At 41.8% G+C, this 27447-nt stretch overlaps 1 protein-coding gene across 1 annotated transcript in view, besides 1 other annotated feature; it reads left to right on the top strand.

Annotated features, from left to right (window-relative positions):
• Positions 1-27447, top strand: part of DNER (delta/notch like EGF repeat containing) — a 356927-nt gene that overhangs the window by 67532 nt on the left and 261948 nt on the right. The gene's annotated exons all lie outside the window — the stretch shown is intronic.
• Positions 23038-23537: an enhancer, noted in NCBI's record as "H3K27ac hESC enhancer chr2:230488203-230488702 (GRCh37/hg19 assembly coordinates)". NCBI's record gives its function as "activates a minimal SCP1, AML or CMV promoter by ChIP-STARR-seq in naive H9 embryonic stem cells {active_cell/tissue: H9 hESC(naive)}" and the evidence as "EXISTENCE:reporter gene assay evidence [ECO:0000049][PMID:30033119]".

Below are 27447 nucleotides of genomic sequence, written 5' to 3'. Positions count from 1 at the left end.
AGCTAAGTTTTGCATTTTTAGTAGAGACGGGTTTTCACCATGTTGGCCAGGATGGTCGCGATCTCTTGACCTTGTGATCCACCCACCTTGGCCTCCCAAAGTGCTGGGATTACAGGTGTGAGCCACCATGCCTGGCCACTCTGTTTTATTTTTCTTTTTACTACTAGCATTGCTTGATATTAAATATTTATTATTTGCTTTTCTATTGTCTCTGGCCTCCTGCATGTAAGTTCCATGAGGCAGGGACCTTGTCTGGTTCACCGTGGACCCTGAGGACCTGGCCTAGGCCTGGCACAGAGTGTGCATTCAGTAAGTGGATGTCAGAAGGTTGTGCCAATAACACAAGGTCAAAAATACTTGTAGAGTTTGGTTGCTTTTGCTTTTATATTGTTGATTTTTATTCCTGTGGAGAGCCTGAGTGTAATGTTGTGTAACGAGCATCTGTCAGAAGTTTAGTTCATCCTATTAGTAACTCAGAGATGGCTGGCTCAAGCCTTTTCCTCCATAAGTTCTGTCAACTGCACAACTGCATACACAAGCATAATGTACTTGGTCAGCATCAGCAAAATACAAATGCAAATTTATGGTTGTTTGACTTATCAGTTTTGATGTTTGGGATTCTGCATTAAACAGATACAACATTATATATTTTTGCATTGCAAGCCATCTGTGTTTACAATGCTTTTCCAAATCGTTTTTTGGCGATTTTATTATTTATTACACATTTTTTTCTTGGCAATCCAAGCAATATGCTAGTCTGTGCTTGTTGGGACTTGTTTAGTCATTGCCACTTCTTATAATGACGCCTTAAAATTAGAAGTGGAAAATAATCACACTCGGGACAGGATTACCGGATGCATAACCTCTGGTTTTATTTACTTGGTGCAGCTTTCATAGAAGGCATGGAAAGGAGAGAAATACAGAGAGGGAGCTGCCAAAAGTTAGATTCAGGCAGCAACAGAAAAAAGATTAGAATCCACATTGTCAGGGAATTCATCCACCCCTTGGTCTCCCGGCAAAGTGGCTGAAGGAATAGATTCCCCCAGACAACTTATTTCTGGTTGATTTCCTTGGGGAGAACTAGACCTCTTTTCCCAACTGTGGCTCTCAGGACTGTGTGCATATAGTTGTTTGTGTCTGCTCTGCTTACACTTGACACCTGGGCTCAGGAATGCTCCTGATGGCTTCCTCTGCAGAGTGAGGACTGACAGCTCCTTCATCACGGTTCTCCTCAGTGCCTTGCACAGGACTTGGCACAAGGTCAGGAAATATTTTACTGAGTGGATGAATGAAAGAAGCTCAAAGTAAAACTGTTCCATCAGGCCAGATGACGTTAATTCTCCACCAGCTTTTATACAGGGTGACCATGTTCCTGGTTCATCTCCTTGTAATTATTAATAGCACCCCTTTTGCTCTAAAGGTGACCTGATTTGAAGGATAAATTACAGTCGTCCTACATTTCAGGTACTATTGACAGATTGGTGAACATATTTGCAGTAGCTAAAAGAACGTGCAACTCAGTTTGGGCAAAATGCATGGCCTATTTCTAGGGCTCATAAGAACTTCAGTTGTCCCAGAAGAACAGATTGAGAGGGATCTACAATGTTGTTTAGCATAAGTTTGATCCTGTTCACCTATTAACTATGACTTGCTACGTTAGTAGCAAATATTCTGGACTTCTTGCTTGTTCAATATCCAATACAAAATGCTTTAAAAATTTTCCTGGGCCAGATGCATGTCTACAATCCCAGCACTTTGGAAGGCTGAAGCAGGAGGATCCTTTGAGGCTAGGAGTTTGAGACTAGCCTGAGCAACATAGCAAGACCCAATTTCTTAGAAAAAAATACAAATAAAAAAAATTTAACCGGGTGTGGTGGTGTGTGCCTATAGTCCTAGCTACTCAGGAAGCTTAGGCAGGATGATTGCTTGGGCCCAGGAGATTGATCATGCCACTGTACTCCAGCCTGGGTGAAGGAGTGAGATCCTGTCTCTTAAATTTTTTTTTTTCTACTAAAGGCACTAATGCCATGGCTTCTTCAACTTGGATTCAATGGACTAGTGCCATCCTAAGGGTCTGGATTTAGCTCTATTTGTGTCAACAAACACCCTGCAGATGTCAACAGTTACCGATTACTCATCTTTACTTCATAAAGCAATATTTACAGCTGATGGGTTGTGCAGTGTTGTGATTGAAATACCCATTACAGTTTAAAAATTAGAGCCATAAATTCAGCATAAACATCTCTGTAGTCACTCCTGATGATCTAAGGAATGGTGCATTCATCTTCTCTTAATTGTCAGGATGAAAGAGCCTTAGAAACCTGCAGCTGTAACTCTCAGGTGACCCTTGAGTTTGGGAGCATCTATACTTAACACAATACTGAAAAATAAACTCTCTTCAAAAATCCCAGCACTTTGGGAGGCTGAGGCGGGCAGATCACCTGAGGTCAGGAGGTAGAGACCAGCTTGGCCAACATGGCAAAACCCCATCTCTACTAAAAATATGAAAATTAGCTTGGCGTGGTGGTAGGTGCCTTCCGCGTAGCTGGGATTACAGGAGGCTGAGGTAGGAGAATTGCTTGAACCCGGGAGGTGGAGGTTGCAGTGAGCTGAGATCACACCACTGCACTCCAGCCTGGGAGACACAGTGAGACTCCAGCTCAAAAAAAAAAAAAAAAAAAAAAAAAAAGAGAAAGCAAGACAGTCATCATACTTGATGGATGGAGGGTATTTAAGCAAAGTATAGTGACCATGCTTGAGGGGATGGATACCCCATTTTCCACGATATGATTATCACACATTGCATGCCTGTATCAAAACATCTCATGTACCTCATAAATATATACAACTACTAGGTACCCACAAAAATTAAAAATTAAAAATTAATAAAAGTGTAGTGATCCATGACATTTGGGAAATTTGGGGGCAGGTGCAGGGCTGATCCCTGGGCTGGCATTGTCTGGGTGTTCACTAGTCTGCATCATGAACAGTCACAGCTGTGCAAGCCAATGAGGCATTTGCTGAGTGTCTGCTTGGTGCAAAGCACTGAAGTGGTGATGAGGGGCATTTGCGTGGTTCTTACCCTTCAAGGTTCTTTGAGACAACGTTAGGCAACCATCATCTGGGAAGGTAAGAAGATAATTGACTCTGAGAAATTAAAAAGAAAATCACAAAATGAAGGGACTGCTTTGGAGCATAAACAAGGAAAGAAAATGATACAGAGATAAAATGTAAGAAAATGGCTAAGTATGGCAAAAATGATGCTCCATGCATTGTGATAACATAAGTCAACATTTACTGATGCCCAATTCTTTTCCGGGCTGTTAGGCACTTTCCACGGATTTAAACTTAATCCTGGCAACTCTACCAGGTAGGCATTGTTACTATCATGATCATCATCTCCATGATACCAGTGAGGAAACTGAGGTACAGGTAGCCTAAGTAACCTACCCAAGGTTTGACAGCTAGAAAGTTGCAGAGCTGGGATGGAAGACCAGGCAGACCTGTTTCAGGGCCTGTGCTCCTATCTGCTATGCAGCTTCCTCTCCCAGTTCAAGACTGGGCAGGGATTATCCTGCTAATCAATGAAATCCATGCGCTAATTCTAAGTGTGTAATGCTTTCCAAACTACAAGACTTCTTTCACAAACATCTCCTTTGATTCAGGCAGACAGCTTAAGATAGGTGTCATCACAGTATTCACTGGGAAACTGAGGCCCATAAAGGATATAACTTGCCTAAGACCACATAGGTAGTACCTCCTGAGACCACTACACTATTCAAATTCCTTATTATTATTATTATTTTTGAGACAGGGGCTCACTCTCTCACCCAGGCTGGAGTGCAGTGGCATGATCTTGGTTCACTGCAACCTCCATTTCCCGGGCTCAAGGGATCCTCCCACCTCAGCCTCCTGAGTAGGTGGGAGTAAAGGTGAATGCTATGATGCCTGGGTAATTTCTGTATGCTTTTGTAGAGATGGGGTTTCACCATCTCTCGAGACCACCCAGCCTGGTCTCGAACAAGTGATCCACCCGCCTCCCAAAGTGCTGGGCCTGCAGTCATGAGCCACTGTGCCTGACCCCTTAGTATTATTTTTTAAGCTTCCATATTCTATGTGCTTCCCTGGCCCTCCATGGCCTCAAGTAATATGAAAGTAATGCTCTCACTACATTGGATCCTACTCAGGCCACTACTGGAATATTTTGTTCAATTGTTGGTTCTCTGCATTTATAGGGGATGTTTATACCCTAGAGAAGATTTGGTGTGATGTAGAGAGAAGCTGGATTTTATTGCAAATATCTGTTGAGGAAGTCCAAAAGTTCTGTCTGCAGAGGAGCCATATGGGCACTTTTTACACAATCTCCTTACAGGAAGGGCAGTGGCTCACTCAAGGCCCTGCCACTTCCGTGACTCACCTGGCTTCAGGGAAGGGCTTCTCTTGTTCCTCTCTGGTCAGGAGCCAGAGGTCAGCCAGACTGCCCTGGTCATGTTTTTCTGCCATGTGTTGTAGCTTCTGGAGTCACTGACCTTGTCAGACCTTGATGTTTATGCCCAACAGGCCAATCTAAACCATTTCACTTTGCTTTTTTTCCCATAGTATTTTCAGCGGGCGTCTGTCACTGCAGGGGGAATTGATGCCTCTTTGCAAAACTTTGTACAAACTCTGTCAAAGTGGCTTTCTCATTATTAGAGAAGGAGTGCATTTCCTCAGGTGAATTGTTTCTCGGGTAAAAATGAAAATAATTGTTGGGATTGAAAAAGCAGAATTTAGAGAAATATTAGTGATTTCTCTAAAAGCTACAGTAAAATGTCTTAGGTACTTTCCCCCTTTGAATGAAACCTTATTCCCAATACTAGGAAAATCAATTTAAAGACAAGTTAATAATTTAGCAGTATTTCAATATAAGGTAATAGACTATGTTTAATGCAATAAAAATATTAAAAGTGATACAAGTGAGACTTTTATAATCATATTTCTTCACTATTTCTCGCTGCTTCTTCCACAGGTGTGTTCCTTGTTTCTCCCTTCTCTGATTACTTTCTCTCTCTTTCCAATCCTGACACCCTAATGTTATATCTCGGAATGTGGAAGGTTGGCCAGACCTCTAGGGTCTTTTGATTTCACGGGGCATACCATAAAAATCAGTATTCCACCAGAGGGAGCTGAGAAGTAAAGAGGAGACCAACCTGCTTTCTTCACTGAAATGCAGGATTTTATATTATTTCTCAACTTCCTTTAAAAGAAAAATTTAAATGTCCCAGAGGGTTGTCTTCATGTTTTTCCTTTTTGATTTTTATTTCTTTTCTTGGAAGTCTATTCATTAGCATATATCTACCTGCTTCATTTTTCCCAGTATGAAGGTTGCAATATTGCTAATGGATCAGAGGACCAACATTGTAGTTCTCTACTTCCCTGTCTAGAAAGGTCATTTGTTTTAAAAAGTCTCTGGGGTCACAGATCTGGGGTATGAAATTAACTAGGTGAGCAAGTGTGTGTGTGTGGGGCGGGGGGAGGGAAAATTCTTCTAGATTCCCAATATAACTTGAAACTATTGTTCTTTTGCATTTGCATCTGTGTAAAAAATTGTACTCTTTGGGAGCTTTTCCTGCCGTAAACTCTACTCTGTCATATCCCCACATTCCTCAAAATCTGTCATGTCTGATTTTGTTTTCTTCTCCACCTCTAAGTCCTGGTGACACTGGTTTCAATGCAACATACTATTAAAGATCCATCCAACTCTCCAGCCTCACTGTGGCTGTGTCCCCTCAGCTGCCTCTAACCTCACCCCCACTCCAGTTCAGTCAGCCTTGCTCACGACTGCGTGTTGGACAAAGTGATCCCTAGAACTGTTGACTTCCGATATTTCTGTTTGCAGTGTCCTGTCCATACCATTACCATGCATCCTCCAGCTCCTGGCTCATTTATTCCTCCTGCATCTGTCCTTCAACTTCAACAAGACCTCTAGGGCCTTTAAGGCTTTATTTTCTCCCACCTAGCCCCTTCCAGACCCAAGACAACTCTTTTCCACCTTCTCTTCCTGCTTGCTAGTGGAAGCCATGTGCTCCATTGAGCCAATCTCTTGCCCATACTCTCAGCTCCCTCACCCCTTTGGACATTCTGCTGCACCTACTCAGCCGAACCGCAACTCAGTGTTGTTCAGGTGTTGACCTTTTCTATCCAAAACCCTGGAGTTCTGCCAGAGAAAACTGCCCATCCATGACACTGATGCTGCTGTATATTCATGGTCTCCAACTTCCGCTAGGTCCTCAGCACACTGTCCAGCAATCCATTCATGGCTCCAGTGAACCCTCTGCCATTTACTTCCTGATGTTGCCTCAATTTTATTGTGCACACATTGTTCTGAGAAACTGTCAACCTCAGACGCGTAGAACATGTTTTGATATCCTTCTCTTTCTTTCCTGGTGTACCATGATTGAGAAGAAGTTGAGTAAAGCTAAACTGATTTGAAATATTTTTTGATTCCAGGAATTATCACAGATATTTTGAATAGTCTCACATAGGCAAACTCCTCATACCACATGAGTAGAGAGAAAGGTATTTCTGTGACAGCTTTTTTACAGGTTGTACTGAGCTACTTTTCTCCTCCTGTATCATCTGATGATAATGTTTTGCTCACTATTCAGATATCTTTAAATAATTTGGCACATTTCTATACTAATCCTTTCAACAAAGCTATGACTTCGTGAGTGGGAAGTATTGCATTGTAATGTAATCCTGAAACATGCAAATCAGAGCTGAGAACAGAGGAGGCGAAGGCCTGCCACGATAGAGCTGAAATTGTGTTGACTTTACTTCACGAAAGCACACTTGGGCTGATATTAGCCTTTTATAGTTGTTTTTGTTTTGTCTTGTAACCCTTTAAATTAGCCTCCTCAAGGTGCTATAATTTCAGTGGTGCAGTAGCAAGGACAAGTACTCCTGTAAGCTGTGAAAAGAAATCAGTATTTGGGGCTATGGGAGAAGGACTTCTGCTGATGTTTCCCTTTCTCAGTACAGTTTTTCTTCAAGGGCTCCTTCATAAATATATGCTTGTAATTAAGATCCAAGTTCAAATGGAGGGTTGTCCCTTGGAGGACAAAGCCAGAGCTTGCATTCTGGGTTATTTTATCAGTGAAAATGTGCAAGTCCTATGAGCTCCTGAGTCCGACACTGGATCATCATTCAAGGGCCTGCCCTTGGGTTCTTCGCTGCATCCTGGCCGATTTTTGCTCCTATCTTGACTTCCTGGCCCAGTCCTTTGGTGGCCAGCTGCTTGATGTCTGTGAGGATTGGGTCTGAAGCCCCAGTCTTATCTGAGCATTGCTCTTAGCTATTTTTCCAGATGCAAATATAAACCCTCAAAAGCTTAGTTTTATAATGCATTTAGGAATCATTATTTTTATTCTTTGTGGAATGTCCTTGAGTGTTTCAAGAAGAGATTTCAAAATATTTAAAATGGTTGGAGGAAGCCGGGAGTGGTGGCTCATGCCTGTAATCCCAGCACTTTGGGAGGCCGAGGTGGGCAGATCACTTGAAGTCAGGAGTTCAAGACCAGCCTGGCCAACATGCCAAAACCCTGTCCTACTAAAAATACAAAAGTTAGCCAGGCGTGGTGATGGACACCTGTAATCCCAGCTACTCAGGAGGCTGAGGCAGGAGAATCGCTTGAACCCGGGAGGTGGAGTTTGCAGTGAGCCGAGATCTCACCACTGCACTCCAACCTGGGTGACAGAGTGAGACTCCATCTCAAAAACAAACAAACAAATAAAATGGTTGGAGGGAAAACAGTCTAAAATAATTGGTGCTTATGAGAAAAAACCCTATTTTCTCATTTCTAAAAGCTGGTTTCCCATAGCTTTGTCTGGTTTCTAAATGCTTTTCTTTGAGTCCACATGGTATGGTCATAGAGATGTGTGTTGGTATCACCTGAAGGGAGTGTTCAGGGTATAAACCTAACCTCACTCCCAGACACTGCCATTCAGAAAACTGGGGAGTCACATTTATAGGAATTCCCCAGGGGCTCTGCGTCAGGTGAGTCCAGGTGGTCATAGACATTGAGAAACCCATTGGATTCAAGCAGCAGAGCAGAAGCCTGGAGACCTGGCCTTGAGGCTTTTGGTGTTTTTGGATTAGGAACCTAATTTCTTTGGAATTTATTTTCTTAATCTGTGAGGTGGGTTTTACCGATATAGTTTTGTAGATTGCTTTGTAGTTTGTCCCAAATAAATGACTATATGTCTTAGTAGTGAAAGGATATAATTCTAAGTAATATTTTTATTTTGGACTTTTGGCTATAGGTTTTGCAGGTCCCAGTAGATAAATGAGTCCTGCACTTGATCAATTTATTTAAATAATTAGAACAGAAAATATCCCTGTGTCTTCTAGTTGGAATTAAATTCATATAGTGAGGGAAGATACCCTTTTTAGGTCTCTCTTTCTGCCCTTCCACTCAGGCACACTGCATGTCAAAATGTGCAGGTTGAAAAGGAGATTTGTGCACCAAGCGAATGTTTTTCATACGGGTATTCAGTTGTCCCGCACCATTTGTTGAAAAGAGTATTCTTTCCCCATAAATTGCTTTGGCACCTTTGCTGAAAATCATGCATTTGTGTCTATTTCTGGACTCTTCCCTACTGATCTATTTTGTCTGCCTTTAGGTGAATACTATACTGCTTTGATTACTATAGGTAATCTGTACTAGACTGCAATTATGAAATTAGATAGTTTAAGTCCTCTTAACTCATTCTTTTAAAAAATGGTTGGTTCTTTTAAGTTCTTTATGAGGTTCCACATAAATTTTAGACTGTCTATAAAATATTTTTTCAATCTCTATAAAAAAGCCTGCTAGGATTGTGACTAGGATTGCGTGAAATCTATAAATCAGTTGGGGAAGAATTGATATATAAACCACTGTAATTTTTTCCCTCTCTCGTATTAGCTTTGGTTTTAAAGGATTGTTCATAATTTAAGGAAGAAAAATCCTCATTAGCTCTGAATAGAACACAGATAATGAATTCAAGTTTCCACTAATATGTTTTATGTGGCATCTATTCCAATTATTTCCATGGTAATAGGAATATTAAATAATTTTCTTAAAGCAACTTGGTAATTTTTGAAATAAACCAAGTTAAGTAAAAGGTACAAATAAAACATGATGGTATTTCCATATTAACAAATGGCCAAATGCCTCCATGTCTGTAGAAAATAATTAAGAGGATGATGTTCAAGGCTGCTTTTTCCTTAGAGCAGTGGTAAATATTTAACAGCTGACTCTCCAGCAAAAAGAAAAAAAACGCACTTGATTTGTAGTCTTTGCCAATTTCTACATTGCAAATATGCCCCATACAGCTGATTTCAAGCTACCAAGGTGATGTCTCTGAATGCAGAGTTGGGAAGAGATACACGCTAGAGCACCATTACATAGAATTTCCATCCTATGGCTACAATAGATGCCAATAATTTCAAGAGTGTGGATGATAAACTGCAGTAAAATATTTAGGAAGAGATGGGTTTTGAGTATGCATTACCTTTGCTTTTAGTATAATTTAATGTAAGTGCTTACTTTAACATTTATAATGTTTGCTCTTAACAACAGCTCACAAAATTCCTGAAAATTGCCTCGCAATTGGCAATGAACCAACTTCAGCACACCACTATGGACCAAGAGTAAAGACTAAAGCATATTTAATATCAAACTAAACTAATAGTTAATTGTCAAACAAAATGGAATGAATGGAAGCTTGTTATGTTTTGTAACTTTAAATACCCCATTCAACAATTCTAAACTGATGGGGTTGGGTAGATATTGTATTACCATTTTATGAATTAAATGATTGATGACAGATGTAAGTATGTGTGTGTGTGTTGAGGGGATGGGAGTGGGTTGGGGAAGATCAGCTGGAACTTTTCCTTAGTTAGAGTGGGATGGGTGAGAAAACAGATGGACCCAAACCTGTAATGGTTCCTCACAGAAGTTTCTCACTTGAATAGTGGTAGTCCAGGGCAGTTCCAGGTGATCATGGCTGATTTTTGTTTTATTTTTATTTTTTGGAGAGTGTCAGTTCCACTCAGTCATTTCAGGGATCAAATTAAAGAAAGCTCTGCAACTTTATTCAAGATCACACAGGGGTTTCATTCTGGTCAGTGGGAAGGAGAATGACCAAGAAGGAGCCAGTCAGGGAGGTTTGTATGGCCAGGCCTGGATCTGGTACCTGTGCCTTCCTCTTACATTCCATTGATTAGCTCATTCATGTGACCACACCCAACTGCAAAGGAGTCTGGTAAATGTAGTCTATAGCTGTGCCTAAGTAGAGGGGGAAAACTGGTTTGGGGGAACAAGTTCATACCTTGTTAGCTGTACTGATGCAACATGACTTAGGGACATTTCAAGTCTTGTGATTCAAGTCTCATGATTTCAAGGAACTTGAAATTTAGTTAAGTCTTATTGTTAGTGAGCTACGCTTTTGGACAAGCCCCATCCTCTCTCTGGACCTAGTCAGTAAGACGCAGGACTTGCACCAGGTCCTTCCTAGATTTGGGACTCTCTCATGCACTCTGTCTTTCCCTCCTCAGCATTTCCTGTTTCCCCATCTATCCTGTCTTCTCGAGGGTGCCTTCTGTTCACCCCTTGGTCCAGATAGGACTTTTTGTGCCAGTTGAACACTATCTTCCCTATGACTTGGCACCTCTGTGCCACTGGCTTGGCTTGCAACCAGGGCAGGGAGCACAGGGGTGCTTCTGACTCAGGGATTCTGAGGGACTGAGCCCAGCTGTTGGATGTGAGGAGAACTGTGCATTGGGCAGCTCAGGAGTTTGTTGGGAAGCTGTTCTCATTTTGCTTCAGTCAGGAAAACGCTGAGTACGATATGCTGGTACAAACGGTTTGCACCAGCAAACAATGCCTTGGAGGAGTTACGGTGTGCCACGGGAGAATGTGGCCTCTGAAGAAGATGGCCTGGGTTCAAATCCTGGTTCTGTCTTTTCTGAGTTTGTAACCATGGCCAAATTACTTAACTTTTTTGTACCTCAGTTTCTTACTCTGTAAAACGTCAACTAAAATAACAATATAAAAAATATATATAATATAAAAATATTTTCTATAAAATAACCCTCAGAGTTTTTTTGAGGATTAAGTAAGTTAATACCTATAACATGCACAGAACAGTGCCCAGTACATGGCAAACACTACACAAAATATTTGTTTTGCTTTTGTTACCAGTACATGGTAAATGTTGTACAAAATACTATTTTTGCTGTTGTTATTAATATAATGATTATTTCCCAGCATATTTAGGAAATGGTGCTCCTATGGACATTGTGAATAGGAAGTAAAATGATCACTATCAGGCTCCTTCTGAACTGACAGTTGATTCAATTGATTGTGCAGTGCAGGCTGCTCACAAAAAATACAAAACCATTCCAATTATGCTATGGGCTAACTTCCTCTTCCCTTTATGCTCCTCTTCCCTCCTTCAGTTGCCTTTCCTGCATGTGAGGAATAAAGACATTGAGACTTGTGTCAATACTGAAGTGCCAGCCTAAATGCTGCAGACATCTAATCAGATCAGTATCATACAGTGTGCCGGCCCCTCTTCCTCTTTGTACCCTTGGTAGACATTGCTAATCAATATGGGAGTTTTTTTTTTTTTTTTTTTTTTTTCCTGTGGGACCTTAGTGCATCCATAGAAAGGGCCGTGGTCAGAACATTTAACATGTGGTATTGTTTGACCAGTCAGAGCTGACCCTGGCCAGAGGGCTGGAGGTCTCCTGCTGTACTAGGCATGAACCCCTTGGTTGCTGCCGAGGAGACAGAAGGAGTTCCCAGGAAAAAGCCAGAGCATCCAGGGAACAGGCATGGGGAGAGGGGAAGGGAGGGGTGCTCAGGGCAGCATGGAAGAATGGAAGTATTTCACTGTGTTAACAATTGGAATGGTTGCCTTGAACAAATGGACTGAATATCAACCTTGCATGGAATTGTGTCAACACAGACACTGCTACCAGCCTCACTGGAGCTTGAGATGAAAAACTGACAGTCAAGCTGTCATTAGATGTGGTTCAAAGAAGAGGGTCACTGCTGTTCTCAAAAGTTAAGGAAAAGACCTCGCGGAAGAAGGATTTGGGTTGGGCCCTGAAGGGTTTCCATTGGTGGGGGGAAAGGGCATTTCAGGTGCCAGAAGGGGACAAGTGGCCGGGTGCTGTGAACCTGACAAGGGAGGCAGCCCCTCCTTCCCGCTCGCAGAGGATGCTGAGCCAGGTTGCCATGGTGATGACAGACTCCTTTGGGCCGGCAGCCTTGTAAAGCCACCAGAGCAGAAAAGACGGGCAATTCCCCAGTTCCCAATTCTGCCCAGACTGTGAAATGGCACTAAATGCCAATCTATTTTTTTTAAGAAAAAGTGGTTTCTCCTTGAGCCTTACATTATAAGTTCAAAATAGCTCCAAAAGCAAATTCCGGATGTAATTACATCCTTACAAAATGTAATGCTTTTGTTTTTCTCTTTTTTGAGTATATGTTTCTAGAATTCAGAAGTAAAATTATACCATTTTCAGAATTATTCCCAATACAATGTAACTGCATGAGAAAAATCATTTCCTCAAATTTGTTAAGTGAGAAATGCTGCAGTAGTGTGGCGAGAGTACAGTGGAATTTATTGGGATATTTCACCCACTGCCTCTCAATTTCCTCCTCACAGAATGAGATAATATTTCAGAGAAAGCTTGGAGAAAGGAATGAAGGAAAGAAGGAAGGAAGGAAGGAAGGAAGGAAAGAAGGAAAAAGTCCATAACTCAGACATAGCTATTATAATTTTTTTGCTTATTCTATATGCATATTTGTTCAATATTTTTAACGAAAGTTACAACCATGGTCTACATTTAATTTCATCTTCTGCCTCCTTAAGCTGCCTTCTTTCTCATTTCCATAGGCTGTGCATGGGTGTCATTGTCCCTTAGGAGAGGACAAAGTCACAGCCTGCTGGGTGCCAGCCTACATAATTTACTACTTAAACTCAGTCTTCACAGTGTTTTTACTTGGATAAATATTCTGGTATCCTATTTTCTAAGCCAGTTGCCTATGTGCTTGGCTTCAGGCTGTCTGTAAGGTGCATGAATAAAATAGTGCTTCTGTGACCTGCGTTAAGAACCTTCAGAGAAGGAGTCTAGAGGGAGGACGCCTTGCCCAGAGACGCTGCTCTATGTACTTCTGGCTGGAGCGCACCTCTCTTGGATGTGGATGCTCTTACCCAGTGGTGCCGGGAAACAGGGTGGTTTGGGCGCCTGCTGTCCACTATGTCCCAGCTCTTGGGAACAGGCCCTGAACGGGCTGCTGCTGGACAGGCATGCTCACCCAGGCTTGCAAGGAGCTATGCTTTCTGTTCCAGCCTGCCTGACTAGATTTCACATTGTGGCTTTGTTTCACCTTTCATACTTGGGATTTAATTTTTTGTCTGCTAAAATCTTAAATCATTGTTTATATTACTTTGGATTCATTTTAGATTTTCTAAAGAAATTCTACTATCTTAGTTGTTTAGTTCCCACAATGTATTTTTTATTTTTAAAAATAAGGTGGCATAACACCATTATGTTTAGCAAGAAAGAGAAAAATATCCATGACCCAAATATAACTCCAATAATTTTTGTTTATTCCCTAGAGATATTCAAAATATTTAACAAAGTTGTAAGTGTGATAGGTGAATGATTTTATATCCTGCTTCTTTCCTTAACACACCATTATTTACATTTTCTGTATTGTTTTAGAGGGGGCTTCTGTTTTTTAACAGTTGCCATACTCCACGTGGTCATTGTACCAGAACTGGCTCAACCATTATCTAGTGTCATACATTCAGTTGTCCTGAAATTTACCATTAAGACATTTTTTGACATTCAGCTTTGAACTTATAGATTTTCTCTTATGAAATTAAAGATTACTTATGTCACTTATTTACTTATTGTCTCATAGGTTTCCTAAAGAAGGGTACCAATTTACAACATCATAGGTAATGTTGAGATCAGTTTTACAGAACAGTTGCTGACATTTGATACAATAATAATTATTCATTAATTTATTCTTGCTAATTTAGTAGGGAAAGCGGCTATCTTTTTTCAGTTTGCATTTTTAGTTACTGGTAAACTTGAGCTTTTCCCCATGTTTGCTCACTCTAGAGCTTTTATTTTGTGAATTATCTTTTTAGATCCTTTGAAGATTTGGGCCTAATATTTTCTTATTGTTTTAGTTGAGAAAAATGTTAACACTTTGTGGCAAATACTAGTTTGTTTACTAATTAATATCATCTCTGGGCTGATATTTATATTTTTGTGATCTGGACTACCTATGTTAACACTGCAGTCTAAATAGTACTGCTTTGTAATTCTTTCAGAACTTTCTTTATGTTCTTATCCTCTCCTTGGTACATGACATTTATAATTATTTGGTGAGTTGCTCCAGCCTCCCATCCTGCACAAAAATTCCTGCCTGAACTTTGATTGTAAATGAATGAAATCTGCATCTTGATTTTGGAAGCATAGATATTTGTGTACCAGTTAGTGCTTTATTAAGGAGACAAGCCTTAGTAAATGTTTGTGAAATTGAGTTCTTAAGATGCTCCATTTAGTCACAAAGATGTGCTTTGTGAGCTGCTGAGTTTCTTAGTATGCAAGCGCTATATTATAGTTAGTGTTTATTTAGCTTTAGATTGAATGTGTCAGAGTCTCCTACTCAATGTTTTGTAATATGTTAATTAAAAACATGAGTAACTTTGAATTTGCAGGCTTCTTAGAAGCAGTGTTTCCAGAATCCTTAGGATATTGGAATGCTTTCTTTAATAATATTTTGGCTGGTATTGAAGTGATACAATGTTTGACTTCTCATCCTTATCAGCTAAAAGTGGTATCTTCTGTTCAATGGCACTGCCTTTGCTGCTGAAGTTTTAATTAAAGAGACATTCACAGCGCTATATTTTGACAAGAGTACTTTATATTAGCTCTAAAAGTTCTGTAGTGCAGAGTTTATTGGGTTAGGAAAAATACTGGCAGGAATATTTTATTGGTTGATATAGAATTAGTAATAAGAGTGACCATAATGGAAATAATTCTCGCTGACATTTGAGCTCCGTGTGCCAGTTACTTTTGTTAGCTCGTTTAATTCTTAAGACAACCCTATGAGGCAGATGCTGTTATGATTTCCATTTTGCAGATGAGGAAACTGAGGCACTGAGCAATTAAGTTACTTCCATGTCTTTTCTTTTGCTCTTTCGTGAAGATGTGGAGATGGAAGCACTGGTGACTGGCTGTGCAGCAGGCATTTCTGGTGCAGAATTTAAGAACTGGAAGTGTTATCTTCATATCATTTAGTTCATGGTCTGGGGTTGTCACTTTTCAGGTGAGAAAATCAGAGCCCTGAAAGTTTCAGTAATCCTTAAAATATATATTTTTTAAATTATGAAAATAATAATGCTCAGTATGCAGGAGTACATAAAGTAAGAAGTCTTCCATTTTCTTTCTTCTGATCTAATTCTACTCCCCAAGAAAGCTCCATCAGCAATGTGAAGTGTCTTCCTCCAGACATCTTCTTTCTATATTTTAAGAAGAAGCTGGAGGGGAGCTCAGAGTAGAAGAGAGTTCTTCTAGGGACTCTATGATGGCTTTCAAAGAAACCTCTGCTCCAAGAAATCACTGGGGTACAGGAAAATGATCAGGAAACACTTGTAGCCACAAACATTGCACCTGGGGCAAGCCCCATGCGTAAGTTAGCTGGTCTTTTCCAGGCCAGCCAATGTCTTTAAATGTTTTTTTTTTCCCTGCAGGTATGAAAATAAAATAAGGTGCTTTCCCTAAAAGTGGAACTACCATTTGACTCAGCAAGCCCATTACTGGGTGTATACCCAAAGGAAAATAAATTATTCTACCAAAAAGACACATATACTCATGTTTGTCACAGTGCTATTCGTGATAGCAAAGACATGCAATCAACCCAGGTGCCCATCAGTGGTGGATTGGATAAAGAAAATATGGTACACATACACCATGGAATACTACACAGCCATAAAAAAGAATGAAATCATGTCCTTTCCAGCAACATGGATGCAGCTGGAGGCCATTATCTTAAGTGAATTGACACAGGAACAAAAAACCAAATGCCACATGTTCTCACTTATAAGTGGGAGCTAAATACTGGGTACAGTGGACATAAAGATGTAAAAATAGACATTGGGGACTACAAGAGTGGGGAGGCAGGAAGGGGGGCAAGGGTTGAAAAATGACCTAGTGGATACTATGCTCACTACCTGGGTGATGGGATCAATCATACCCCAAACCTCAGCATCGCATATGTCCTTGTAACAAACCTGCACATGTACCCTCTGAATCTAAAAAGTTGATTTTTCTTTTAAAAAAGAAAATGAGATGCTGTCAATAAAAAGCCTCTGTCCAAATATATATATTAGCTTGCGATCCCTGTGCCATGGGTAAATGAGACATATTTTAAACATCTGCCAGAAGATTTTATTATTATTATTATTATTATTATTATTATTATTATTATTATTTTGAGATGGAGTCTCTCACTCTGTCGCCCAGGCTGGGGTGCAGTGACACCATCTCGGCTCACTGCAACCTCTGCCTTCCGGGTTCAAGCAATTCTCCTGCCTCAGCCTCCTGAGTAGCTGGGATCACAGAAATGTGCCAGCATACCCGGCTAATTTCTGTATTTTTAGTAGAGACAGGGTTTTGCCATGTTGGCCAGGCTGGTCTCAAACTCCTGACCTCCGGTGATCCTCTCATCTCAGTCTCCCAAAGTGCTGGGATTACAGGCAAGAGCCACCATTCCTGGCCCAGAAGGTTTTATTTTTTGTGAGTCTATAACACTTCTAGGGTCTCTTTTTATAGTTGGTGTTGAATGAATGAATAAATTCTGCTGAAGCTTAACATGCTTTTTATGTAATTATCCATTAAAATAGAAGATAGATAAACTGCCAACAAAAACATTGGAAAATGATTAGGGATAATAGATTGTGCCTATAGATGAGATTGCTAAAAGAGGCACACATTCTGTGTGCTCCTAATTTGAGACATATTTTCTGCCAGTCATAATAACCTTCTAATATTGTGTTGGATGCTTCTTGGTCACCCTTTCTGAAAATGCCCAAGTTACTGCATATGATCAAGAAGCAACCACAATAAATGTTGTTTTAAAGATCCATCTATCAAAGATAAAGTCACCTACAGATGCGGTCACAGAGGGACAAATATTCAGAATGCCACCTCACTGCATTTCTGGGTGCTGTCCCAGAATGCCCAGCGAAGACTTTTCAAACGTGAATGCTTTGATACAGGGTAAATGAATCAAAATTGTGATTTCTTTTGTTTGCCATTTTCCAAGTCTTCGTAATAAGAACATTTTCATTTTGGGATGACTGGAAGCCCCACAGCTGACTGCCTGTCTGAGACACTTGACTCCATGTATTGCTCAAGGGTCTTTTAAGGGCTGACTCACTCAAACTGGCACCCTGGAGTTGCTAACTTGGCTGATTCAAATGGGGGCAACAATTCAGAAAGCTCTCGTTACCATTTCTGCCCAATGAGGTCTCCACATAGTGACTACAGTGCTGTTGAGCCACCTAAGTAAGTCCTCCTTAGTAAAATGTAAAGAGACCTATATAAGTCTAATCATATGTAAGAGTTTTGTTCTTTATGGTGCATCTCAGGCATTATCTATAAATTCCTCCTTACTAGAATATTGGAAAGCATTAAGGTTTAGTTAGAAAAATAATGATGACCTAACATTTATTGAGTGCTGACTATCACATATGAATTCATTTCAGTCTTACAATTCAATGAGCAGGGTTTGTATGATGATTGCAGCCAATTTGCAGCTTGGAAAACAGAGGCACAGTTACTAAATTGGCAAATTTGGTATGGCAATCTACAGAGCTGAGATTCAGAGTCTAATCAGCCAACCACCAGGCAAAACACTGTCCCATTTCTTTTTCTTGCTCCTTTCCCTGAGAGCAAAAAACAGTGAGTGGAGAGAAGAAGAAAAGAGGAAGGAGCAGGGTGAGGGGGTGTTGGTATTTTTAAACACATGTTAAGATTAGGGTGAAAATATGTTAGGGGAAGCAGTCACACTGCAAGATGGAAACGTCAGTGGTCAGATCCTGAGACAAAGAAGAGGCTAGACCAGGGGTAGTACCTTTTTGATGTCCGGGGTTCCAACTCTTGATGTTAGAACTAGGTTCCCTCTGGCTGCAGAGGGTAAGATTACGAGCTGTTGACTTACATTTAGACACTGCCTCAGGAAGCTGGGTTGCAGTGATGACTTCTTGGGTGAGGATTGCAGGTCCTCTCTGTAGCGTTACCATGGTCAGTGCACTGGCCCTAGGATCATCCTTCATTCCACCACAGAGCTCCTTGACATTCTGGACACCCTTGTCCACCGCGTCAGAGCAGCTCTGGTTATTTCTGTTGAATATTTTGGGGTTCTTATAAGATATCTTTTGGACAAAAGGCCCAGTCGTTCAAAATCAGTTGAAAATGGCCTCTCTGCAACACTTAGTTGTTACTACCGTGTTCCCGTGTTTTTGGTGTCTATTTCTGTGTAACAAATTACCCCAAAACTTAGTTGTCTGAAACTGCCATTTTATTTTGCTCACAATTTTATGGGTTGGACATTCGGAAAGGGCTCTGTTGAGGAATTTGTCTCTGGTGCATGAGACACCAGCAGGAGTGCCTGAAACTGTGGATATATGACTTTGATGACTTCCTCCTTCCTACAGCTGGTGCCCTGGTACTGTTTGATCTATTTCCCCTCCTCTGCCGCTCACCTCGGTGTCTCATGCTTCAGGGCATCTCCATGTGGTGTAGGCTTCTCCCAGCATGGTGGTTTTTGGATAGCCTCAGTTCCAACACAGTAGCTGTCTTCCAAGAGGCAGGAAGTAGTAGCTACTGGACCAGGCGAGGGCCTTCCTGGACCTGGCATGATGGTCTACCCTGCTCTATTGGTCAGAGCAGCCACAGGCCTGCCCATGTGTAAGAGAGGGGAGAAAAGGACTCTACCTCCTGATTGGAAAGTGGCAATGTCACTCAGCAGAAGAGGATGTGTGGTGGGAACCATTGTTGCGCCATGTTGGAAAATACCGCCTGCTGCCTCTCACCACTGCAGTGCCCCTGGGGCTATAGATGCAATTTCACTGCCTAATCCCTTTATTACCTCCAACTTGCCTGGGGTTCCTAGCTCTTCTCTCATTTCCTGCTTGTGAGGGACTCTCTCCTTCCCTAGTCACACTTACAACTTGCTGCTTACAGTAAACTTGCTGGTCACAGCTTGTTTTTACTGGGAGTCTTGTTTTTTCAGCAAACAAATTGCCATCTATAAGGCTTCGCTTGTTAATCAGACCTCTCTTTCTTCCACATGGCATCCTGATCATGGTTTCATTGATGCAATCTTTGTGTCTTTATTTCCTTCCTTGGTTTTGTTCATTGTTAATAGGTGGTAAATACCTGTTTAGTTGCTTCAAATATTTAAAAATTGTTTTCTTCTGGAGCTGGCACTAAACCAGAAGTCTAGAAAGGTTGGGTACCAAGTGGTTAAGCTTTTATAAAAATTAGGAAAAGTCTTTATTAATTGAAATCTGTTATGTCTAAAGTTGTGAAATAAACAGAACTATCTGATTTTAGGTGACCTGTTGAGCTATTTTCCTTTTCTATCTTGTAACTAGTTATATTTATAAAATACAGGGTGATGTGTGTTTATTAAATTACAGATATTCGCAGTCTGCATCTGTAGGTGCTTATTGTGAGGAAAGAATTGAGAGAGTGAAGCATTTGTGTGGATATCTCACAGGGTCTTTGTCTGAGGCTGGCACTAGATATTGTTTCTGGTGGCTAATTGGAAGGGGACTAGAAGTACAAGTTGAGGTACCATAAAGATTTACACTGCATACAAAGAGACATTCTGATAAATTCATTGGGACCATGCACTTCAGTGAAAAGAAAAATGTGTTGCCTGCTCTGAGACTTGGGTTGAGTTATTAACATCCCTTGACCTCAGTTTTCCAACGTGATTGATAACAGGGTTCGACCCCATGATCTCTGTCATTCTCATCAGCTCTAAAATGCCCTGGTGGTTTTTTAAAGGTGACTTGAGTTGGATATTTCTTTTATTTTCAAACAGGCATTTCTGCATGCTCTCTTCTTTACTGTGTGGACAATATGTTGTATGTACTGAATTCAAAGTCAGTTTCAAAACTTAAATGACTTGATATTTATTTAAAGTGAGAAGGCTTTAAACAAGTCCAGACTTTAGGATGACTCAATTAAAATATCTCCTACCAATGCTGCCTTTTTGTTGGTTGTATTGATTTATTAATTTACTTTATATGGGAAAAGCTGGTATTATTTCCCAAACAGGCAGATGGGGTATAGGAAAATGTTGCTTCTTTTATAGTTTCAGCATGTTCCAGCCCTTTCATTAGGCCCTTACAATGAAAGGAACATTGATTCTCTGTAATTGCCCGATTCTCTGTAACTACTTCTGGTAATATGTTTGAATAATGGTTGTATAAGCACATGGGAGAAACTGCTAAATTTGTGCTTTGTCTATCTTTCCTATTTCTAAAATTAAAGAAAAATTAGTCTGTACAAATTTTTCTTAGATCATGAGATACATCCTAGTTTCTGATGAGTTGTTCGGAGTTGCATGTAATGGTTTGAACAGCGGATTGCGTTCCTCCTTCACTCAATATTTCCCCCTTAGCCTTTGGATGCAAAAGAAACTTCTACTCCAACCTATGTCATTGAAGTTGCATAGTAGGCCGGGCACGGTGGCTCACGCCTGTAATCCCAGCACTTTGGGAGGCCGAGGCAGGCGGATCACGAGGTCGGGAGATCGCGACCATCTTGGCTAACACGGTGAAACCCCGTCTCTACTAAAAATACAAAAAATTAGCCAGGCACTGTTGTGGGTGCCTGTAATCCCAGCTACTCAGGAGGCTGAGGCAGGAGAATGGCGTGAACCCGGGAGGCGGAGCTTGCAGTGAGCCGAGATAGCGCCACTGCAGTCCGGCCTGGGCAAAAGAGCGAGACTCCATCTCAAAAAAAAAACAAAAAACAAACAACAACAACAACAACAAAAACAACAAAAACAAAGTTGCATAGTAGACAGTCCTTCTGGCCTTTCCATACCTGTGAACTCTTTCAACTCTCCCTCCAGTCTAGCCAAACTGGACCTTTTTGCTGTCCTTCAATGCCACCTATTGCATTCCTGCTACCAAGGCTCACGGTAAGTGGTTTCCAATACTTAGGACAACTTTCCTGCCCTACCCCTATGCTCTCCTCTTCATTCAAACTCACATTCATTTCTTCCATAATTATGTTTCCTATTGATAATGTGCCCAACTTATATAATCTGTAAGCTTTTGATAAGAGGCTCTTTGTTGGTTCTAGAGCTTAAATCCTACCTAGGCAGAAGTGGAGCTTTCCTCTGGCCCTTGAGCCCGCTCCCCTCCGTCTCCCTTGTTTTCTGGCCTTTGATATGACTCGGTGACCGGGCCTTCATGCTCCATTCTGGCCATGACAGCTTTGTTCACCTGAGCAGTGGAGGAGGCTGGGTTGATGGGGGAGGTGTCAGTAGATGTTGGTAAGGATGTGAGAAGGTGGCAGTAAGGGAGTGGAATCGGGAAGCAGGTGTCAGAAGGGAAAGTGTGGGATTAGATGGAAAGAAGAACAACTGGGAAGAGGGAGAGCTTCCTCCTGCCACCCCTCCCAGCCCCCGGTGATTTTCCATGAAAATAAAATACAAGAGAGCTACATTGTAAAATACAAGAGAGCTACACTGAGGAAGCAGATTTTTCTGAATTTGCTTTATGTGATTTTCCTTGATTTGATCGCAATTTCTATTTAGCCTTGGGCTTAGGGGTTTATTTTAAAGAAATACCATCATCCTATAAAATCTTCTCATATTTATCTTCAATATATAATAAAACAAAATAATAAAATGAAATAATATAAAGAGTAAAATGAAATAATAGCGAATTCCTCACCCTCATGTAGAAATACTTTAGGAGATTTTGCTTACATATTTGAAATCTGAGGAAATTGACTAAAAAAGAAGTAATAGAAATTGGAGTCCCAGAGTCCATTGAGCTAACCTCAGCAGGAAAATTAAGAGGGATGATTTGAAATGATAATTTGTGTAGCCTCCAGAAATGTACACAAATACAAAGGTGTTATGTAGCTCAACTCTGGCTCTGTCAAGACTGCCTGGGAGTGAGGGTGGAATGTCATAGTCTAAAAAATGCAGAGAGAAAAACGATTTCGGGTTATTTTAGCATTGGTGAAAACTGCTGATTGCATGCAGGCAAACGTACCTGATCTTGTTGAAATCAGGACACGCTACTATTTAAGTACTATTTAAGACAGGAACTATTTTATGCCCTGTTAATTTGCTGGAGGTAGGAAAACATTAGTGTATTTCTGGTTTTGGAGAAAAGTTTGGAAAGTCTCTTAAAGCCATTATTTAACTATTTTTTTTTTAGTTTATTATATTGTTCCAGAGACTCACCTTTTTACTTTTTAGTGCAAGGAAGAGAAAATGGGTAAAATGTTGAAGAACGGACTTTTAGGTTCCTTTAGTATTTTTCTAGTAGGTGTCTTGCTGCAGAATATTTCCTGTCTGTTAATGAGAGATTTGAGCTGCTAGCATAGGATTTAGGAACCTTTAAGTTTTCTCGTGGCTTACTCCATCTTCCTGCTTTTTTCTCTTTCTTAACTTCACTTTTAACTTAGAGTTGTGTTTTCCTTTTGTTATATTCTTACCTGCCTTCCCTGCTGTTTCATTTTCCTGATGCATCTCTTTAGCAGGTGCTCAGGAGGAACAACTAGCTGACCCCAGCTTTCTGTTGTGTCTGCAACAAATTCTTTCACTTGCTCAAGAGACTTTTATAAACACTGTCTGAAAAATTTTTGTGAAGCAGCTGGGGTGGCTGGGGAGCTGGATTTTAAGACTTTTAAAGTCCATTCCAACCCAGGACCTCTGTGATTCCGTGAAGCCCCACCATGGCTGTTGGTTATTCACGTGAGGCCTGATTGTCCCAGTTCATGGATAATATGGGACATCTGTTTAGGACTTTCCTTTAAGCATTGAAGCATGTGATTCTTAGAGAGGAATGTGTGCAGCAGGGAGAGAAGCAGAGGTGGAAGGAGCTGGGGGTTCCTTGGCTCTGGGATGGGAAGCAATGCCCTAAGGCAGCACCCACTGCAGTGGGACCAGATATCCATAGGTCCCCACTCACCTGATGCTGGTGACAACAGTGCTCACTCCAATGACAGCAGCTCTGTGCCCACCTCCCAGCCTCAGCCCATGGAGTCTTTCTGTAGTCTGCAGTAGCGATCAAGGACTTGTCCAACAATTTCTGTCTTCTTCCTTATTGTGGTTTTGAAACTCAAATGCCAGGATTCTGTGCCTGCCTTCTCGGGCTCCCAGTAGCAGGCCTCCCCTAAGGACAAGTAGCTCATGCCCGGCTGCCTGGGCTGGGGGCAGGGATCTTGGAAAACAAGTAGGTATGGGGGTGGGGAACACACACTATCCCTTTACCAATGGTAGACTTGGAAAGGCTCCTTCCTGCTGATGGGAGGGGGAGCAGGCAAGGATTTGAGGGGAAATGGCCAGGCAGCATGGCGGAAGCTAAGGTAAGTTGCAAAGAAGGTGGGTGGAGATTAGCTCATGAGGAGCACTGGTTCTTAACCACTTATGGACCATAGAGCTTGTCAAAGAAAAAAACAGCCCGGGCTTAGGTAAGGAGAGACTTCATCGAAAGCGGTGATTGTCGTAGGGCGAGGGGGAGCTTTTACAATTAGAGGAGGGGACTATTGCGCAATAGGGAGAATGCTCCCACCATGAGGTCTGCGAGAGTCTCAAAGGTCAGGCAGAAAGGAACTTTCTTTTGTAGGGAGGATTAAACATGCTGGAAAGACCTAGGGTGGAGGAGTAAGGATGAGCAGGTGGCACAAACCAACGGTTGACCAGATGTCTTTCCTTGGTTGTAGTAGATTCCTGGGGCCTCTGTGCAAAGTGCCACAAACTCAGTGGCTTAAACAACAGTAATTTATTCTCTCACAGTTTTGGAGGCCAGGAGTCTGAAATCAACATGTTGGCAAGATTGTTTCCTTTTGGAGGAATCTGTTCCAAGCCTCTCTCCTGGCTTCTGGTGTTGCCTGCAATTCTTGGCATTCTTTGGCTCATGGATGGATCACTCCCTTGTCTGTCTCCAGCTTCTGTGTCTCTGTCTCTTCTTCTCTTCTTATAAGGAAGCCAGTCATGCAGGCATCCATGACCCACACTAATTAGTATGACCTCATCATATCTAACTATGTCCACAAAGACCCTGTTTCCAAAAAAATCCACATTCTGAGGTACTGGGGATTACAACATCAACAAATCTTCTTTTGGGGGTACACGATTCAGCTTGTAACACAGTCCGTGGCTCCTAAGGAGGTTACTCTGCATTCCCGTGCTGACTCAGGCTGAGGGGGGATCAAGTTCAAAGACCCGCAGGGCAGAAAAGACTCAAGCTTGGTTAAGTCACATTAGCAGGTATCTTGCTCAGATGGGTCAATGGGGACAAAGCTTCAGCTATTCATTTATGAGAATTTGAGGGTTTTGTGTCTGGCCTTTGGGGGTCAAAGGGGTCATTGGTGAGTCTTATCTAAGTCATATGGGGAAGGGTGGTTCTTTGCAGTAAGTTGTTTCCTGGAATACAAAGGGATGGCAATTTCACAACCATCACTATTTTCCAGGTGTACAGGGCTCAGGTAAAACTCAATGCTGTCAAGCTCTTTGAAAATCTGATGAGAATTATAGCCCTCTTTCTGGAAAGAGGTCAGGTATAGAGAGGAGTAATTATTTATATGCAATTTCTTTTTTTTGTTTGTTTGTTTGTTTTTTTGAGACGGAGTCTCGCTCTGTCGCCCAGGCTGGAGGGCAGCGGCGCGATCTCGGCTCACTGCAAGCTCCGCCTCCTGGGTTCACACCATTCTCCTGCCTCAGCCTCCCGAGTAGCTGGGACTACAGGCACCTGCCACCATGCCCAGCTAATTTTTTTTTATTTTTAGTAGAGACGGGGTTTCACAGTGTTAGCTAGGTTGGTCTCGATTTCCTGACCTCATGATCCGCCCGCCTCGGCCTCCCAAAGTGCTGGGATTACAGGCGTGAGCCACTGCGCCCGGCCCTTTTATATGCAATTTCAATAGATTCTGAGACCCCTTGGGAGCCTTCTGAGCTCAAAAGGCCCAAGTAAGAAAAACCAAACAAAGGGCAAGGAGTGAGGGTCAGGCCAGGTGCATCCAGGTGGCCCCAGATCATCCTGTTGGGAGCATGTGGGAAGTGTGGGAAATATTGTAGTAGGCATGGCTGGGAAGGCTTTCTGAGCTCAAGAGGCCCATGGTTCCAGGTTAAAAAAAAAACCAAAGGGCAAGGAGTGAGGGTGAGGCCAGGTGCATCCAGGTGGCCTCAGATCCTCCTGTTGGGAGCAGGTGGGAAGTGTGGGGAGTATTGTGGTGGGCAGGGCTGGGAGCAGGTGGGAAGTGTGGGAAGTATTGCAGTGGGCATGGCTGGGAAGTAGCATCGGGGCCAGCCTCTCCAGGGCCTCATATGACACTTTCATTTGGTCGTCAATGAGAATCCAGTGGACTTTTCTCAGCAGGTGAATACAATTTTCAACGCTGTGCTTTAGGAAGATTCTACTTTGACAACGGTATGTAGGAATGATCAAAATAGGGCAATGAGAAACTGTGGGGAAACAGGAAGTCATTGCAGTAATTTCTGATGGTAGGCGTACTCATGTAGTTATTATTTATCACTTTTGTTTTGTTTTAATATCTGCAGTGTTAAAACCCTTAGTAAGAGCACTTAGTAATGATGTCCTTAAGGACTTGTTTACTCTTGGAAACACGCAGAAACTTCTTGTATGAGTTAGCTAAGGCGTCATAACAAAGCACCGCAGACCGGGTGGCTTAAACAGCAGATATTTATTTTCTCACAGTGCTGGAGCCTGGGAGTCTGAGATTAGGTGTCAGCAGGTTTGGTTTCTCCTGAGGCCTTTCTCCTTGGCTTGCAAACAACTGCCTTTTCACTGTGTCCTCATACGGCCTCTCCTCCTGGCATGGGCATCCCTGGTGTGACTCCTCCTTTTAAGGGCAGTAGTCCTGTTGGACCAGGACCCCACCCTAATGGCCTCTTTTTCATCTCATCACCCCTTAAAGACTTTGTCTTCAAATACAGTGACATTCTGACATACCGAGGGATGGGACTTCAATATATGGATTTTGGGGGGATGCAATTCAGCCCATAACACTTCTCAAGGGACTGACGCCCCATCCCAGTGTGGGGTTGGTGTTTCTCTGAGGATTTGCAGGGAACTCTATCAGGAAAGCAAAAGAGAACGTTTGTGTCTGCAGGAGCTACCGAGCACCCCAAACCGCAGAGGGCTGCTTCTGCCTCGAGGCTGCGGCTCATCTCATCACACGCAGTGAGGTGATTGACAGGAGCCCTTCTTGAAGGAGTGATGATGGCTGAAGCCCGATGGCTGACATTTAATTTGTTGGGGGTAAGGAGAGTGCCAACTGTGAGGCTAATGGCTTGTGGTGATATCCATAATTATAACTCTGATATGAAAGTAATTTGAGCCAAAAAGATACATGAAAAAAGATTAAATGGTAATTTTGATATCTGGTTTTGCTCAGCCCTTTCTGTTGACAGTTCCTTAATTGCTTTCTGAATTTATTTCCTTTCCATTATTATTTCTATCCATTGTGTCTCTCGGGAGCGATGCTCTCTTCATATCACATTCCGGCCCAGGAGGGGAGGGTGATCCCGTTCTTCCGCGACACCCACAGGCTGAGAGGGTGCCCATCCGAGTCGCTTTGGTTCTGAACAAACTTCCCGTGCATCCCATGTTAGCTTCATCAATCTGCTTTCTCAAGTGCGAAGAAACTTCACCCTGGTGATTTTTCACTTCCTCTCAGCTTCATAATAATAAAAGAATACTTAATTGCTTGATTTCACAAGGCTTTTCCTTGTTCAAAAACAAAGGTGAGGATGGAATAGTAGTGCAGGTGGAGAATGACCCGTGGGGTGAGAGACGAAATAATAGATGTAAACATTATCCAACTAGAAATCACTGTAGTAAGTTTATATTCACTATTATTTAATGTAGTAAGTTTATATTCACTATTATTTAATTATTTAAAATATAGTACCAGCTCCTTTACCTAGCATTTGATAAATTACTTTAAATGAGTTTCCCAGATACCTGAAGTTTATTCTTTAAATTCTGATATTATTCTTTGCAGTCATTTTTAAGAAATGGTCCCTCAGTACACTATACGTACCAGCAGAGCACACAGAATATAATTTACCCTCTCTGTTGTAACTGAAGGGCATTATCTTGGGCATTA

The sequence above is a fragment of the Homo sapiens genome, chromosome 2 (assembly GCF_000001405.40).
Source record: "Homo sapiens chromosome 2, GRCh38.p14 Primary Assembly".
Lineage (NCBI taxonomy): Eukaryota > Metazoa > Chordata > Mammalia > Primates > Hominidae > Homo > Homo sapiens.
Note: the sequence above shows the minus strand (reverse complement) of the source record. Positions and strands in the feature narration are given on the sequence as shown.